Genomic DNA, 15,747 nt, shown 5'->3' with positions numbered 1-15,747 from the left:
CAATGCACAGAAGTCCTTAAAGGACTTGATGGAGCTGAAAACCAAGGCACGAGAACCACGTGACGAACGCACAAGCCTCAGTAGCCGATGCGATCAACTGGAAGAAAGGGTATCAATGATGGAAGACGAATGAAATGAAGCGAGAAGAGAAGTTTAGAAAAAAAATAATAAAAAGAAACAAACAAAGCCTCCAAGAAATATGGGACTATGTGAAAAGACCAAATCTATGTCTGATTGGTGTACCTGAAAGTGACGGGGAGAATGGAACCAAGTTGGAAAACACTCTGCAGGATATCATTCAGGAGAACTTCCCCAATCTAGCAAGGCAGGCCAACATTCAGATTTAGGAAATACAGAGAATGCCAGAAAGATACTCCTCAAGAAGAGCAACTCCAAGACACTTCATTGTCAGATTCACCAAAGTTGAAATGAAGTAAAAAATTTTAAGGGCAGCCAGAGAGAAAGGTCGGGTTACCCACAAAGGGAAGCCCATCAGACTAACAGCGGATCTCTCGGCAGAAACTCTACAAGCCAGAAGAGAGTGGGGGCCAATATTCAACATTCTTAAAGGAAAGAATTTTCAACCCAGCATTTCATATCCAGCCAAACTAAGCTTCATAAGTGAAGGAGAAATAAAATCCTTTACAGACAAGCAAATGCTGAGAGATTTTCTCACCACCAGGCCAGCCCTAAAAGAGCCCCTGAAGGAAGCACTAAACATGGAAAGGAACAACCAGTACCAGCCACTGCAAAAACATGCCAAATTTTAAAGACCATCAAGGCTAGGAAGAAACCACATCAACTAATGAGCGAAATAACCAGCTAACATCATAATGACAGGATCAGATTCACACATAAGAATATTAACCTTAAATGTAAATGGACTAAATGCTCCAATTAAAAGACACAGATTGGCAAATTGGATAAAGAGTCAAGACCCATCAGTGTGCTGTATTCAGGAAACCCATGTCATGTACAGAGACACACATAGGCTCAAAATAAAGGGATGGAGGAAGATCTACCAAGCAAATGGAAAACAAAAAAAAAGGCAGGGTTTGCAATCCTAGTCACTGATAAAACAGTCTTTAAACCAACAAAGATCAAAAGAGACAAAGAAGGCCATTGCATAATGGTAAAGGGATCAATTCAATGAGAAGAGCTAACTATCCTAAATATATATGCACCCAATACAGGAGCACCCAGATTCATAAAGCAAGTCCTGAGTGACCTACAAAGAGACTTAGACTCCCACACAATAATAATGGGAGACTTTAATACCCCACTGTCAACATTAGCAGATCAACAAGACAGAAAGTTAACAAGGATATCCAGGAATTGAACTCAGCTCTGCACCAAGCGGACCTAATAGACATCTAGAGAACTCTCCACCCCATATCAACAGAATATACATTTTTTTCAGCACCACACCACACCTATTCTGAAATTGACCACATAGTTGGAAGTAAAGCACTCCTCAGCAAATGTAAAAGAACAGAAATTAGAAGAAACTGTCTCTCAGACCACAGTGCAATCAAACTAGAACTCAGGATTAAGAAACTCACTCAAAACCACTCAATTACATGGAAACTGAACAACCTGCTCCTGAGTGACTATGGGGTACATAACGAAATGAAGGCAGAAATAAAGATGTTCTTTGAAACCAACGAGAACAAAGACACAACATACCAGAATCTCTTGGACCCATTCAAAGCAGTGTATAGAGGGAAATTTATAGCACTAAATGCCCACAAAAGAAAGCAGGAAAGATCTAAAAGTGCCACCCTAACATCACAATTAAAAGAACTAGAGAAGCAAGAGCAACACTCAACACTAGCAGAAGGCAAGAAATAATGAAAATCAGAGCAGAACTGAAGGAAATAGAGACACAAAAAACCCTTCAAAAAATTAATGAATCCAGGAGCTGGTTTTTTGAAAAGATCAACAAAATTGATAGACCTCTAGCAAGACTAATGAAGAAGAAAAGAGAGAAGAATCAAATAGACACAATAAAAATGATAAAGGGGATATCAACACCGATCCCACAGAAATACAAACTACCATCAGAGAATACTAGGAACACCTCTATGCAAATAAACTAGAAAATCTAGAAGAATTTGATAAATTCCCAGACACATACACCCTCCCAAGACTAAACCAGAAAGAAGTTGAATCTCTGAATAGACCAATAACAGGCTCTGAAATTGAGGCAATAAGTAATAGCTTACCAACCAAAAAAAGTCCAGGACCAGATGGATTCACAGCTGAATTCTACCAGAGGTACAAGGAGGAGCTGGTACCAGTTCTTCTGAAACTATTCCAGTCAATAGAAAAAGAGGAAATCCTCCCTAACTCATTTTATGAGGCCAGCATCATCCTGATACCAAAGCTGGGCAGAGACACAACAAAAAAAGAGAATTTTAGATCAATATCCCTGATGAACATCAATGCAGAAACCCTCAATAAAATACTGGCAAACCGAATCCAGCAGCACATCAAAAAGCTTATCCACCATGATCAAGTGGGTTTCATCCCTGGGATGCAAGGCTGGTTGAACATATGCAAATCAATTAACGTAATCCAGCATATAAACAGAACCAAAGACAAAAACCACATGATTATCTCAATAGATGCAGAAAAGGCCTTTGACAAAATTCAACAACTCTTCATGCTAAAAACTCTCAATAAATTAGGTATTGATGGGTCATATCTCAAAATAATAAGAGCTATCTATGACAAACCCACAGCCAATATCATACTGAATGGACAAAAACTAGAGGCATTCCCTTTGAAAACTGGCACAAGACAGGGATGCCCTCTCTCACCACTCCTATTCAATATAGTGTTGGAAGTTCTGTCCAGGGCAATCAGGCAGGAGAAGAAAATAAAGGGTATTGAATTAGGAAAAGAGGAAGTCAAATTGTCCCTGTTTGCAGATGACATGATTGTATATCTAGAAAACCCCATCGTCTCAGCCCAAAATCTCCTTAAGCTGATAAGCAACTTCAGGAAAGTCTCAGGATACAAAATCAATGTGCAAAAATCACAAGCATTCCTTTACACCAATAACAGACAAACAGAGAGTGAAATCATGAGTGAACTCCCATTCACAACTGCTTCAAAGAGAATAAAATACCTAGGAATCCATCTTACAAGGGAGGGGAAGGACCTCTTCAAGGAGAACTACAAACCACTGCTCAATGAAATAAAAGAGGATACAAACAAATGGAAGAACATTCCATGCCCATGGGTAGGAAGAATCAATATTGTCAAAATGGCCATAATGCCCAAGGTAATTTATAGATTCAATGCCATCCCCATGAAGCTACCAATGACTTTCTTCACAGAATTGGAAAAAACTACTTTAAAGTTCATATGGAACCAAAAAAGAGCCTGCATCACCAAGTCAATCCTAAGCCAAAAGAACAGAGCTGGAGGCATCACACTACCTGACTTCAAACTATACTACAAGGCTACAGTAACCAAAACAGCATGGTACTGGTACCAAAACAGAGATATAGATCAATGGAACAGAACAGAGCCCTCAGAAATAATGCCACATATCTACAACTATCTGATCTTTGACAAACCTGAGAAAAACAAGCAATGGGGAAAGGATTCCCTATTTAATAAATGGTGCTGGGAAAACTGGCAGCCATATGTAGAAAGCTGAAACTGGATCCCTTCCTTACACCTTATACAAAAGTTAATTCAAGATGGATTAAAGACTTAAATGTTAGACCTAAAACCATAAAAACCCTAGAAGAAAACCTAGGCAATACCATTCAGGACATAGGCATGGGCAAGGACTTCATGTCTAAAACACCAAAAGCAATGGCATTAAAAGACAAAATTGACAAATGGGATCTAATTAAACTAAAGCACTTCTGCACAGCAAAAGAAACTACCATCAGAGTGAACAGGCAACCTACAGAATGGGAGAAAATTTTTGCAATCTACTCATCTGACAAAGGGCTAATATCCCGAATCTACAATGAACTCAAATAAATTTACAAGACAAAAACAACCCCATCAAAAAGTGGGAAAAGGATAAGAACAGACACTTCTCAAAAGAAGACATTTACGCAGCCAAAAGACACATGAAAAAATGCTCACCATCACTGGCCATCAGAGACATGCAAATCAAAACCACAATGAGATACCATCTCACACCAGTTAGAATGGCAATCATTAAAATGTCAGGAAACAACAGGTGCTGGAGAGGATGTGGAGAAATAGGAACACTTTTACCCTGTTGGTGGGACTGTAAACTAGTTCAACCATTGTGGAAGTCAGTGTGGCGATTCCTCAGGGATCTAGAACTAGATATACCATTTGACTCAGCCATCTCATTACTGGGTATATACTAAAAGGATTATAAATCATGCTGCTATAAAGACACATGCACACGTATGTTTATTGTGGCACTATTCACAATAGCAAAGACTTGGAACCGACCCAAATGTCCAACAATGATAGACTGGATTAAGAAAATGTGGCACATATACACCATGGAATACTATGCAGCCATAAAAAATGATGAGTTCATGTCCTTTGTAGGGACATGGATGAAGCTGGAAACCATCATTCTCTGCAAACTATCACAAGGACAAAACACCAAACAGCGCATGTTCTCACTCATAGGTGGGAATTGAACAATGAGAACACATGGACACAGGAAGGAGAACATCACACACTGGGGATTGTTGTGGGGCGGGGGGTGGGTGGGATGGCATTAGGAGATATACCTAATGCTAGATGATGAGTTAATGGGTGCAGCACACCAACATGGCACATGTATACATATGTAACAAACTTGCACGTTGTGCACATGTACCCTAAAACTTAAAGTATAATAATAATAAAATTTTAAAAAAAGAATATAAATACTTTCTCTTCTATTATTGCTAACTTTCGTCATGCCTAACAATAACTTATTCCGTCAGCTTTTTTTTGGTTCCTATTTCCGTGGTGTGTACTTATCCACACTTTTCTTTTCAAAACTTATGTTTAAATTTGTTTCTTATAAACAACACATAGCAAGATTTTAAAACATTCGTTTTGATAAAATTTTAACAGATGTACTTACCCTGATTCCTGACACAGCTGGACTTAGTTAAAATATTTTCTTTTTTATATTCTATTCAGCGTGTTTTCCTTTGCTTCTTTCTCCCTTCCATTTCAATGTTGTATAGAGAATCGATTGCGTTTACTCTATGTTGTTTCCTCTATTGATTTGGAAATTTCTGTTCTTTTGGTGGTTACTCTTGTATGTTTTAAAATTCGGAAATAGAGCCTACATGCAAAATAATTTGTGCAAGTGTACATATACAGTTTAAAGAAAATAATAAACTGATTGTCCAGATACCTCTTTCTAGGCCAAGAAACAGATCATTACCATATTCCAGAAGCCCCCCCATTCCTCTCACGTATTCCATCTCCTCTCCCACTCTCAAGATAAAGATAGCCTGAATTCTGTGTAAATTTCTTCCCTTTCTTTATTTTGTTTTGTACCACTTATACTTTATATTCAAAAACAACACAGTATTTATTTTTGCCTTTTTGAATGTTATACAAATAGAATAATATGTATAGCTTTCTGTGACTTGCTTCTTTTGTTTTACATTATATTTTGAGAGGTATCTATGTTGATGTGGGTAACTTTCACTGATTTTCCAAAGTTATATAATACTCCATTCTAAGAATATGTAAAAAAAGTGTTTATCGTATTGCTGATAGATGTTTGGGTTGTTTTCTGTATTTTTTGCCATCCTGGCAATACATTTGTAGAATGTAAACATTGTACAAATCTCTGTGAGTACATGTGTAAGGGCCTCTTTGCTTATATAGACAGAGAAAGAAATGCTGGTTATCCTTAACAAGTTAATCAGTAGTTTTAGTGCATATCTTTAATGCCTTAAGTAGTATTTCTCTCCTCCTTGTAAACAATTTATTACCCCCTTCTTTATTCCATATGATTGTGATAAACCACTCAGTTTCACTTTATTGGCAAATGCTAAAAATTGTTTTGTTTTGTTTTTTTACAAGTAGAGCTTAATAATTATTAATCAATACCCATTACTTATTATTAAAGTTACCAGATTTACCATCATGCTTACTAATTTCTCTGTTTACTATTGCTTCTTGTTTCTCACTGCTTCCTTCTGGGATAAATTCCCGCTTATTCAAGCATATCTTATTTTAGTATTTCTTTTGGCAAAAGTAAACTACTGTGAGCACTAAACAATTTTTTTTTTGAAAAATGTTCTGATTTATCTATTGTTCTCTATCATTCTTGAATGTTAGGTTTAGCATGGGCATATAATTTTTCTTTTTTTTTTTTTGAGAAAAAGTTTCTCTCTTGTTGCCCAGGCTGGAGTGCAATGGTGCAATTTCAGCTCACTGCAACCTCTGCCTCCTGGGTTCAAGCTATTCTCCTGCCTCAGCCTCCTGAGTAGCTGGGATTACAGGTGCCCACCACCACGCCCAGCTAATTTTTTTTTTTTTTTTTTTTGAGACGGAGTCTCGCTCTGTTGCCCAGGCTGGAGTGCAGTGGTGCGATCTCTGCTCACTGCAAGCCCCGCCTCCCAGGTTCACACCATTCTCCTGCCTCAGCCTCCCAAGTAGCTGGGACTACAGGCGCCTGGTACCACACCCATCTAATTTTTTGTATTTTTAGTAGAGATGGGGTTTCACCATATTAGCCAGGATGGTCTCGATCTCCTGACCTCGTGATCTGCCTGCCTCGGCCTCCCAAAGTGCTGGGATTACAGGAGTGAGCCACCGCGCCCGGCCTGTATTTTTAGTAGAGACAAGGTTTCACCACGTTGGCCAGGCTGGTCTCAAACTCCTGACTTCAGGTTATCTGCCTGCCTTGGTGTCCCAAAGTGCTGGGATTACAGGCGTGAGACACAGTGTCCGCACTGTTGCTTTACTTTCATTTTTGCTAATGACATGTTCTTTTGCTAGAAGTCTCTTTTTTTTCCCTCTCTGGTTGACTTTAAGATTTTATTTTTATCTCTGCGTTCTGTGGTTTCATTCTGATATATGAAAGTATGCATTTGCTTTTATTTATCTTTTTGAGATATTGTTATACTTTTTCCAGAGGACTCATGTCTTTCATTCTAGAAACTCTACATCCATATATTTTTATATTGGCTTTCTCTCTCTCTTTTTTTTTTTTTAACGAAAAAGTAAACTTTAATGTCAAAAATGCAAACTTGGGGAAGAACAGAAAAGATCACACACAAGGCTGTCACTTCACACTTGGAAGGTTGCACAGCGTCCGGGCAGAGGCGCTCCTCACTTCCCAGATGGTTGGGCAGCCGGGCAGAGGCACTCCTCACTTCCCAGACAGGGCGGCTGCCGAGCAGAGGCGCTCCTCACTTCCCGGACAGGGCAGCGGCCAGGCAGAGGGGCCCCTCACTTCCCAGATAGTTGGGCGGCCGGGCAGAGGCGCTCCTCACTCCCAGTCAGTTGGCCAGCCGGGCAGAGGGGCTCCTCACTTCCCAGATGGTTGGCGGCTGAGCAGAGGCGCTTCTCACTTCCCAGACGGCTTTTTCTCTTTCTTTTGGGCTTGGCTATATATGTGTGTGTATGTGCGTGTGTGTGTGTGTGTGTGTGTGTATCTATGTGCGTGTATATATATGTAGGTATATATATACACATGTGTATGTATATTTGTACATGTGTGTGTATATATATGCACATATGTATATACATACACACACATATATATACACACATACACACACATATATGTATTTTAAGTCATTATTGTATTTTGTTTAGCATTTCTGTGTTTGAAGTGGAAAGGGATTCAGCTCAATCTCCATGTTATCAGATTATTCATCTCTTAGATTTCACAAATGCAATATTACACTATTTTATCTAATATTCTCCAAACTCTGCTTGTTCTAAACTCATTGGTAAACGGTGTAGCTCAGGGGGAAGGAGAAATTTCTGATGCTGTCCCATAGAAGGGACCTACCTCCTGCATTAATAGTCTGAAATTTACATCTTAGCCCGTAAGTCTGACCTGTTCTTTGGTGGTCATGCATCAGTGGTAATGCATTCTTTGATGGAATAGAGGGATGTGGAGGGAAACAGCCCAGTAAAAGCTAAAACAATCCCTTCAGATATTGAAGGAAAAAAAAAGAACCATGGAAAAGCTGTGGTGTAGCTGTCTATCCCCAACTACTGCACCTTTCGGAGATGTTAGGACCTAGCCAAAAATGAGAGAAAGAATCATATTCCCATTACTGGTGACTGTAGAGGCACCTTATGAGTAAGATTGGATGATTAAAGAACCAGCTTCACGATACTGTAAGTTATTACTGTTGCTTTTGCAGATCTTTTGTCACATTGATTTGTGTGTGGTCAGTGCATAGTATTTATGTTTTGATCACAGAGAGCTGAAGTTAACAAGATTTGATTTGAAATGTCAAGTTGTGGCTTCCTCTGTTTTGTGAGTTTCTTCCGAGAGAAGGCTGCAGTCTACATACAGGAAGGGTGATTGTCCCTGTAATCATGCACACATATACTTACGGAGCAAGTGGTGAGGTTTATATTAGAAGGACCATGCATGTCATATAAATGGAATAGGCATCCCTAAGTGAAACTTTTTCAGAGAAATGGAAATAGAGCATGCAAGAAAGATGACAAAAAGAAATAAGAAAATAAAATGCTTAGTCAGACTGAGTATGTCACACTCATGTTTAATTTGATTTTCATCTCGCTATAAGCCGTTCCCATTCTGTTGAGGAGTACACACTCCAAAAGATTTGACTGTAGATTTGGCCAAGGTTTGTGTGCTTCAATTCTGGGTAGATGTGTGCACCATTTTCAGTTTCTGACTGTCTTTTTTTGGCCTCTTGTGCGGGAGGTATGAGGCACAAGTTTTATCAATGGTTTATTTGGCTAGCACCATATACCATGGCATATGGAAATTCTATTTAGAGACATGGGGAGAAAATGTTTGTTGTTGTACTCACAGACAACTCTGTCTTTCATTTTTATGTCTTTGTAGCTTTGAAGCTCAGGAAAGAAGAGAAATCCACTGAGAACAGTCTGTAAAGGTAAGTGTATTTATTACATGGCCTTGACAAACATTGCCTTTACAACATTGATTTTTCTTTTATTCAGAGATTTAAACACTTGGACTAAAGATATAGCTGACAGGACAACTTCCTTAACCACCTGCTTGTCCTCCCTCTTAGGCAAAAGTGCTGAGCAATAGTTAGCAGAGAGCAGGAGGAAATAAAATGATGTGTTGAGAGTAGACAAATGCAATTGTATGCTTGCTGACTTTTGCTTTCTTCTCAGCAGCTAAGACATTCCAATGGAGCTAAGTTTACTAAGATTAATGCTAGATGGAAAAAGAATGCACTTGTACCACTTCTGGCCAATAGTTAAATAAAACTAGCTGGCCAAATAAAGCATTTAAAATAAAATGCAGAGTGGCATTTCAATTGGGTTGAATGAAATTTATTGTGAAAGTCAGTTGTGCAGTTGCATGGAAGAGCCAGTTTTGTAGAAAGAAAAGAGCCACTGAATTTGGTGTATCTAATTTCATTCCACCCAGTCACTCTGAGCCCTAAATGAATTACAGGAAATGAACTTCCAAGCTTGAAGCAATGGGAAAAGTACCTACTCGGTCTCTTGTGAAACATTACAATCAAGTTGGTTTTTACATGGAAAAATGTAATTGTTTCCTCTTTGCTAGGTATATTTATGAGCATACCTCTGTACAGCTTTGTTCTTTGATTCATTGTTTAATTTCTGTTCTGCATGAAGTATTTTAATTTAAAGAATTCATTCTGGGCAATTATAGGGCTGCGGTTTCATCAAGAGTCTTTGGTGGCCAGGGTGAAATATGCTATAATTTTACATTTGTTTTCATCATAAATTACATTTTTGATACTTTTAGGGTTTTTTTCTGTCATTTTTATTGCAGCAATTATTACTATGACCACTTTAGTTAAAGTTGAAAAGCCATTTTGATTTACCATGTACTTTAAGTTCTTCCTAACTTCTTGACAAATCTATTTCTGGGGCTGAATTTTTCATGTTTATTTGGAGGGCAAAGAAGAATTTTACAGGGATATTGGAGAAAACCCCTTTTAGATAATAAAAATATGAGTTATAAAAAAATCCTCTTTTCTTAGGATTTGCTTTGGGGCAACTAAACTCTGGTGCATGAAAACTGGTTGGCTTGGAATTTTGCCATAATTGTTGAACATCAGTGAAGAAATTACTATCTTAAGCAGTAGATAATTCTTATTTTTGGCCATACAACTACATGTCTCTGGACCATTGAGCCACATCTTGGAATAAAGAAATACTTGATAGCTTTTAGAAATAAATGCTCATGAATAATTGGATTTGGTGGTGATGTAGCCATCTTAACAACTTTGTAATCTTTTGGCACAGATATGGTGCTTCCTTTCCTCTTGGGGAATGTTTCCACACAGGCACAGTCCATTTTCTTTATTCTCAATGAAAATCTTTTGTTGAATTGGTACTCTGGAATCAGACATGGGTTTAGTCATGATTTGGCTTTTACTAGCTGTTGGACTGCGGACAACTTATTCACCCTCTTAGAGTCTCAGTTTCCTGATCTGTGAAGTGGGGATAATACTGTTTTTGGCTTCATGTAGGTGTGGAGAATTAAATGAAGTATTCTGTGTCAAGGACTTAGAAGTCCTGGCCCATGATAAGTGCTCAGTAGATGTGAGCTGCCACTGCTCTTATTAATATCATCATCATCATCATCATCATCATCATCATCATCATCATCGGCGGCGGCAGCAGCAGCAACAGCATCTTTATGAATTTATTCATTATACATTTTTATAAGTCTATTCTTTTTAGAAGCTTCAGGATAATATTTCTAAAATAAGCATGTTGCTACCAAAGAAGGGAAAATTCTGCTTGGTCCTTAGGAATCAAATGAAAAGGTAACTTTCAGGTAATACAGGAAGTGAGGCCTCTGGAAGTGAAAAGTTATTAGGCTGAAGTTTTGTAGGTATTAGGAAAACTACCTTCCTTGGTTGTCATCAATTACTAGTTAATAGTCTTGAGAAATTAAGAGTCTACTGCTAGTTAGCTTCTTCAAGAATTTTTAAAGAAAGCCTTGGTAGTATAGAGGGAACCCCCCCACCAATTTTTTTTTTCTGTCGTGTATGTTTTTCCTTCCTAACAGCATCTTTATTTCTTTTTGAGGTAATTAGGCTAGTGGAACTGTAACCAGGGGCCCTACTCAGGGGCCTGCACCCTGCCTATGGATGGGTGTATGACCACAAGCTTGGCTAAGTAAATGCTCCTTCTTTGGAATTTGATTCTTTAGCTAAAGGATTCTCCCTTGTCCTAGGTGGGCATTCTGATCTGCCAACATGTACTATGAGACCACTGTTGCCTCCATGTCTGTCTTGGCTAGTAGTCATGGCCTCCAAACCTTATTTTCCATTCTGCCATGGATTGGCTGAGACTCCAGTATCCTTCCAATAATTCTTAAATTAGCCAATTTGTTTCTTCTGCTTGCAACTACAGAACCCTCATTGATAGTATAGTCTATTCATTAGTGAGCTAGATCTGGAATAAATATGGTATGTTTGGAGGTTTACAATTAAAATGCCACTCATTACTTTCTTTCATCATGTGTAAGTAGCTCAGTGTTTTGCAGTAGATTACAAAAAGTACAGAGTTCTTTATTAGACTCTCAAAAATGGGTTATTTTGCTGAACTTCCCAGTACTCCTGTGTTTGGTACAGAAAAGTCACTCTTGGCTGCTTCTCTTAGCTCTCAAAGAAGGTGTATGTATGTGGGCGTAGAGCTGGAAATGAGAAGAGAAGCGGAGAAGTCATCCCTCCCAATTTCTGGGGCCCTGGTCTCTTTGTGTCATGGGGATTGTTAAGGGACTGAGATTTTCTTCGGTTTACCCCCAGCAACCCCAAACACAACAGGTATATTCTTTAGACATTTGTCTACTTTTCCCTGAATTTTTATTTCTCATTTGAACACTGTTCTTACCCTACTGAGCACCTTCTTTTCAATGATGTGTAAAATGTGATTGAAAACTCAATTACTTCCAGTTCTGGCATTGCTTGTGGAATGTAGAATGAGAATGGAATGGGCAAGTTTTCTCTATTTCCCCTTGTGTCTTATTTGTTGACTACTTCTGTGCTCTGTGCAGTGCCTAGAACAAAACTTGTTAATTTTTTTTTAACAGGTATATCAATTTTGCACTCCTACTGTGAATAAATAGCATGACAGTATTATATGGAAGGAAGAGCCTTAGCTGGGGTATTAGGAAACATTCCTTCTAGTTTTGGCTCTGCCATTTGCTAGCTTTGTGACTCTGTGCAAGATTCCTAACTTTCTTTAAGATCTGAGGTTCCTCACCTGTAAAATGAGGATAACTTTTGCCCTATTTATTGCACAGGGCTGTTTTGAGGATCACATGAAGACAATATATATGAAAGTGCTTAGTAAATTTTAACAAATGCATAACATCAGTTTATTACTATCATGCCATGAATATTTCTTAAACAGATGAAAATTTGAGGGGCTTGTTTTAGGAGGCTGAGTAGGAAAAAGAGACAGATTAAACAACAACAACAACGACAACAGCAACAACCACCTTGTATAGTGCTTGTGCTGGGTATTCACATTTGTGCTTCCAGCTCCTCTCTCTTCTAAATGGCTCTGCACCATGGGCCTAACCTCTATCGCAGGCATTCTCTGGGCTCCCTTGTTTGCTGGCTTTCTGTTGTATTAGCCAGGGGAAGGAACTGGATGAAGACCTGGGAACACGAGGTTGAAATATTCTTCCCTACTTTCTTCCCTGCAGCATTGTGGGTTGGCAATGGCTGTATCCCTCTAAGGAAGGCCACAGTTCCGGTTGGGGGCCTCTCTTCAGCGGCTACAGCTTTTTCTACTGTCTGGTAACTGCCTCTTCCCTTTTCCCCTTTGAGTCTGGAGTGTTAATGGAATTTTTGCTAAGTCCAGCACACTAGACCATCCCTTAGTGGTCTTCCCTTAACCCTGCCTTCACCCCAGGTGAAGATGTCATCTCCTTCCTGCTGTGACCTTGATTGTACAAAGGAACTTTGTTCTTTATATATTTTTCCACCATCCTCAGCCCAATTCAGCAAATATCTTTTTAGGATTTAGAGTGTGCCAGGTAAAAAGTAAGTCTTTATTGTACACTTTTAAGAAATGGACATTTTGATTGCATAGTTGGAGATATTATATCTTTTTTTTTTAAAAGCAAGTTTTGGTAAATTGAAAAGCTTTATAGTAGCCTCAGTGTATAAAGAAATACCATATTGTACTTATATGCATTACAAATTACCTTTTACATTTTATTTTTATTTTTATCAAAGCAGTGTATCTACATTGTTTAAATAAAACAGCATTAAATAGCAAATATTTAAAAACTGCAACATCTATGCCTTCTTTCTACCTCTCTCTGGATTGCTTCCCAGAATTAGCAACTTTCTATTCTGATATTTCTGGTGTTCACCTCTCTCTTTCTAAATAATGTACTTATATTATTTTTTCCTAATTTATCAATTTTAGCAATAGCTCTCTGATCCTTTCCACTCTTACCACTTCTGGTCCCCACAGCCTCCTGACATAGTTATATTACAATTTTTATTTAAATCAACAGGTAATATTTACATTATCATGATTACGTAATTTTTTTCTGTTGCTAAGCCGAATGGTATTTGTTATGTTTTCTTTAATATAAAATTTTTTGTCTTTCTTGGAATTAATATGTGCTTTTAAAAAAATTTGCCTACTTTAGGCATCTACCTTATAAGGTAGGTAGTAATAGCATGTCAATTTCATAGGTGGGTCATATTAGTATTTCCATTTTATAGTTGTAGAAATTGAGACTTAAGGCTAAGTATTTTTTCCAAGGTCACATAGCTAGTAAGTGTTAGAACTGGGAGAAGACACCAGCCAGTCTGTTCACAGAGCCTGCATTCTTAATCATTATATTACTTACAAATACTGTCACTTCAGTTATCCTGATGGCTACTTAAAAAAAATTTCTGAGTTCTATCTTCAGAGATTCAAAATCAGTGGGGCTGAGGTGGAGAACCAAAAATCTGTATTGTAAAAAGCTCTAGGGGTGATTCCATTGATCAGCAGGTTTGAGAACTTCTGTTCCATATCCTATCATTACCGTAATTACCATCATCACAATCATGATCATCAACATCATTATCATCTTCATCATCATCACCACCACTACCATCAGCAATAACATGTCTTGCTCAGTGCTCTCAGTAATTGACTAGAAATCCTGGTGTCTGTTAAAGCAGCTACCTTTTGACTTCATAGGTGAGATCATCACACTAGTGGGTGATTCAGTAATAATTCATCTGGCCATTTTTTTTTCTTTTTTTTTGAGAAGTGCTTTGGGAGAAATTATGTCCCATAGAAGTAGACAAGCTTATTTTTTTTCAGCTCAGCCGGTTGTTGCTTTATCTGGTACAAAAGCAATGAGAACTTTGTCCCTGTACTTAACTCTGACCTTTAAGGGACTTTTTTTTTTCTTTCTTCCCTGAGAGTTCCCTAAATGACATCTGGGCAAATACAAAGTCCTAGTGAAAGAGAAACTTTGAAGTCTTTGTTCTGTTTGATTTCCACTTCCCCCACTATCACACCCCCCACTAACCACCCCCCTCGCCCCTTGCTTATGGCATTTCTTGTTTATCACGTATGAGAGAAGCAATAAAATTTGGCCTGGGGTTTTCTCATCCCTAGGTGTGAAATTATTTCAGAACTATAATAATAATACTTTGCATTTGTATAGTGCTTTTATTTGAAGATCTAAAAGTGTTCTTTTGGTGTTAATAGAGCTTCCCATCACCCTCTGAAGTAGGTAAGTATTATTAGAGGATATTTCCTTCAAGAACATTTTCACTTTACATACCATGTGTGACTTGAAAATGCTTTTGTATTATTTGGGAATCTCAACTCTTTAAAGTGCTATACATATAAGGCAATTCTTTTATTTATATTCAATCTTCATTAATGCCCAGAACATTGAGGGAAATGCAATTCCTCATAAATGAATGTGGCGTTATTTAGAAAGTATTAGGATAAAAGCCGTTTGGTATTGCCTTTTATTGGAATGTTTTGAAAATATTTAATAATGCTCATTAGCTACAGAACTACCTGTTGTACAGTTAGTTTTCCTTTTTTTTAAGGTAGCAGGATTTGCAGGAAGGAAAATATTAAATAACTAGTGGTGTCGGGTCTTAGAACCCAATCCCCCAAAGTATGGTACCTTAGCATCCTGAGTACTTTGAACTGAAGGAAATACATTGGAAAGCCCTCAGAACCAAGGTCTTTGTGGCAGTCTCCCATAATACTGTCTCCTACTTCTCTTCCTCCCCTTAAGCAAGTCGTATAAACCAGAATTCCTCTTCCCTAAGGTGGGTCATAGAAACTAGAATGTCTCTTCCCCACAGCAAGCCATTAAACCTAGAAAAGTCACTCTCTTCCTTCTCCTTTGAAGATCCTCATTCCATAGAGGCCCTGCTCCATACTGGGAAGAAAGAACGTTACACAGAGAGGCCAATAAGAATCTGAATAGTCAGGCCTTGCTGATCCCCACCACCACCCCCACCACCGCCAATCTATTTTCTATTTCCAGTAGAACACACCCCTTTTGTTCTACCACATTTCTACACAGCTGTGCATTCTTCACTGAACCTAAGCATAAAAACTATT

General features: G+C 38.2%; 1 protein-coding gene across 8 annotated transcripts in view; it reads left to right on the top strand.

Moving 5' to 3' along the window:
* The window catches only part of FHIT (fragile histidine triad diadenosine triphosphatase), a 1,504,176-nt gene that overhangs the window by 41,762 nt on the left and 1,446,667 nt on the right, over nucleotides 1-15,747 (top strand). For 7 of the 8 annotated variants that reach the window (NR_148921.2, NR_148922.2, NM_001354589.2 and 4 more), the window contains exon 2: nucleotides 9,026-9,074. The gene's annotated coding sequence lies outside the window, so the exon portion shown is untranslated. Of the gene's footprint in view, nucleotides 1-9,025; nucleotides 9,075-12,847; nucleotides 12,942-15,747 lie in introns of all 8 variants that reach the window. The other variant, NM_001320900.2, reaches the window with a different exon arrangement.

This window comes from Homo sapiens, chromosome 3 (assembly GCF_000001405.40).
Source record: "Homo sapiens chromosome 3, GRCh38.p14 Primary Assembly".
Taxonomy (NCBI): domain Eukaryota; kingdom Metazoa; phylum Chordata; class Mammalia; order Primates; family Hominidae; genus Homo; species Homo sapiens.
This window is presented reverse-complemented; position numbering and strand designations above follow the sequence as displayed.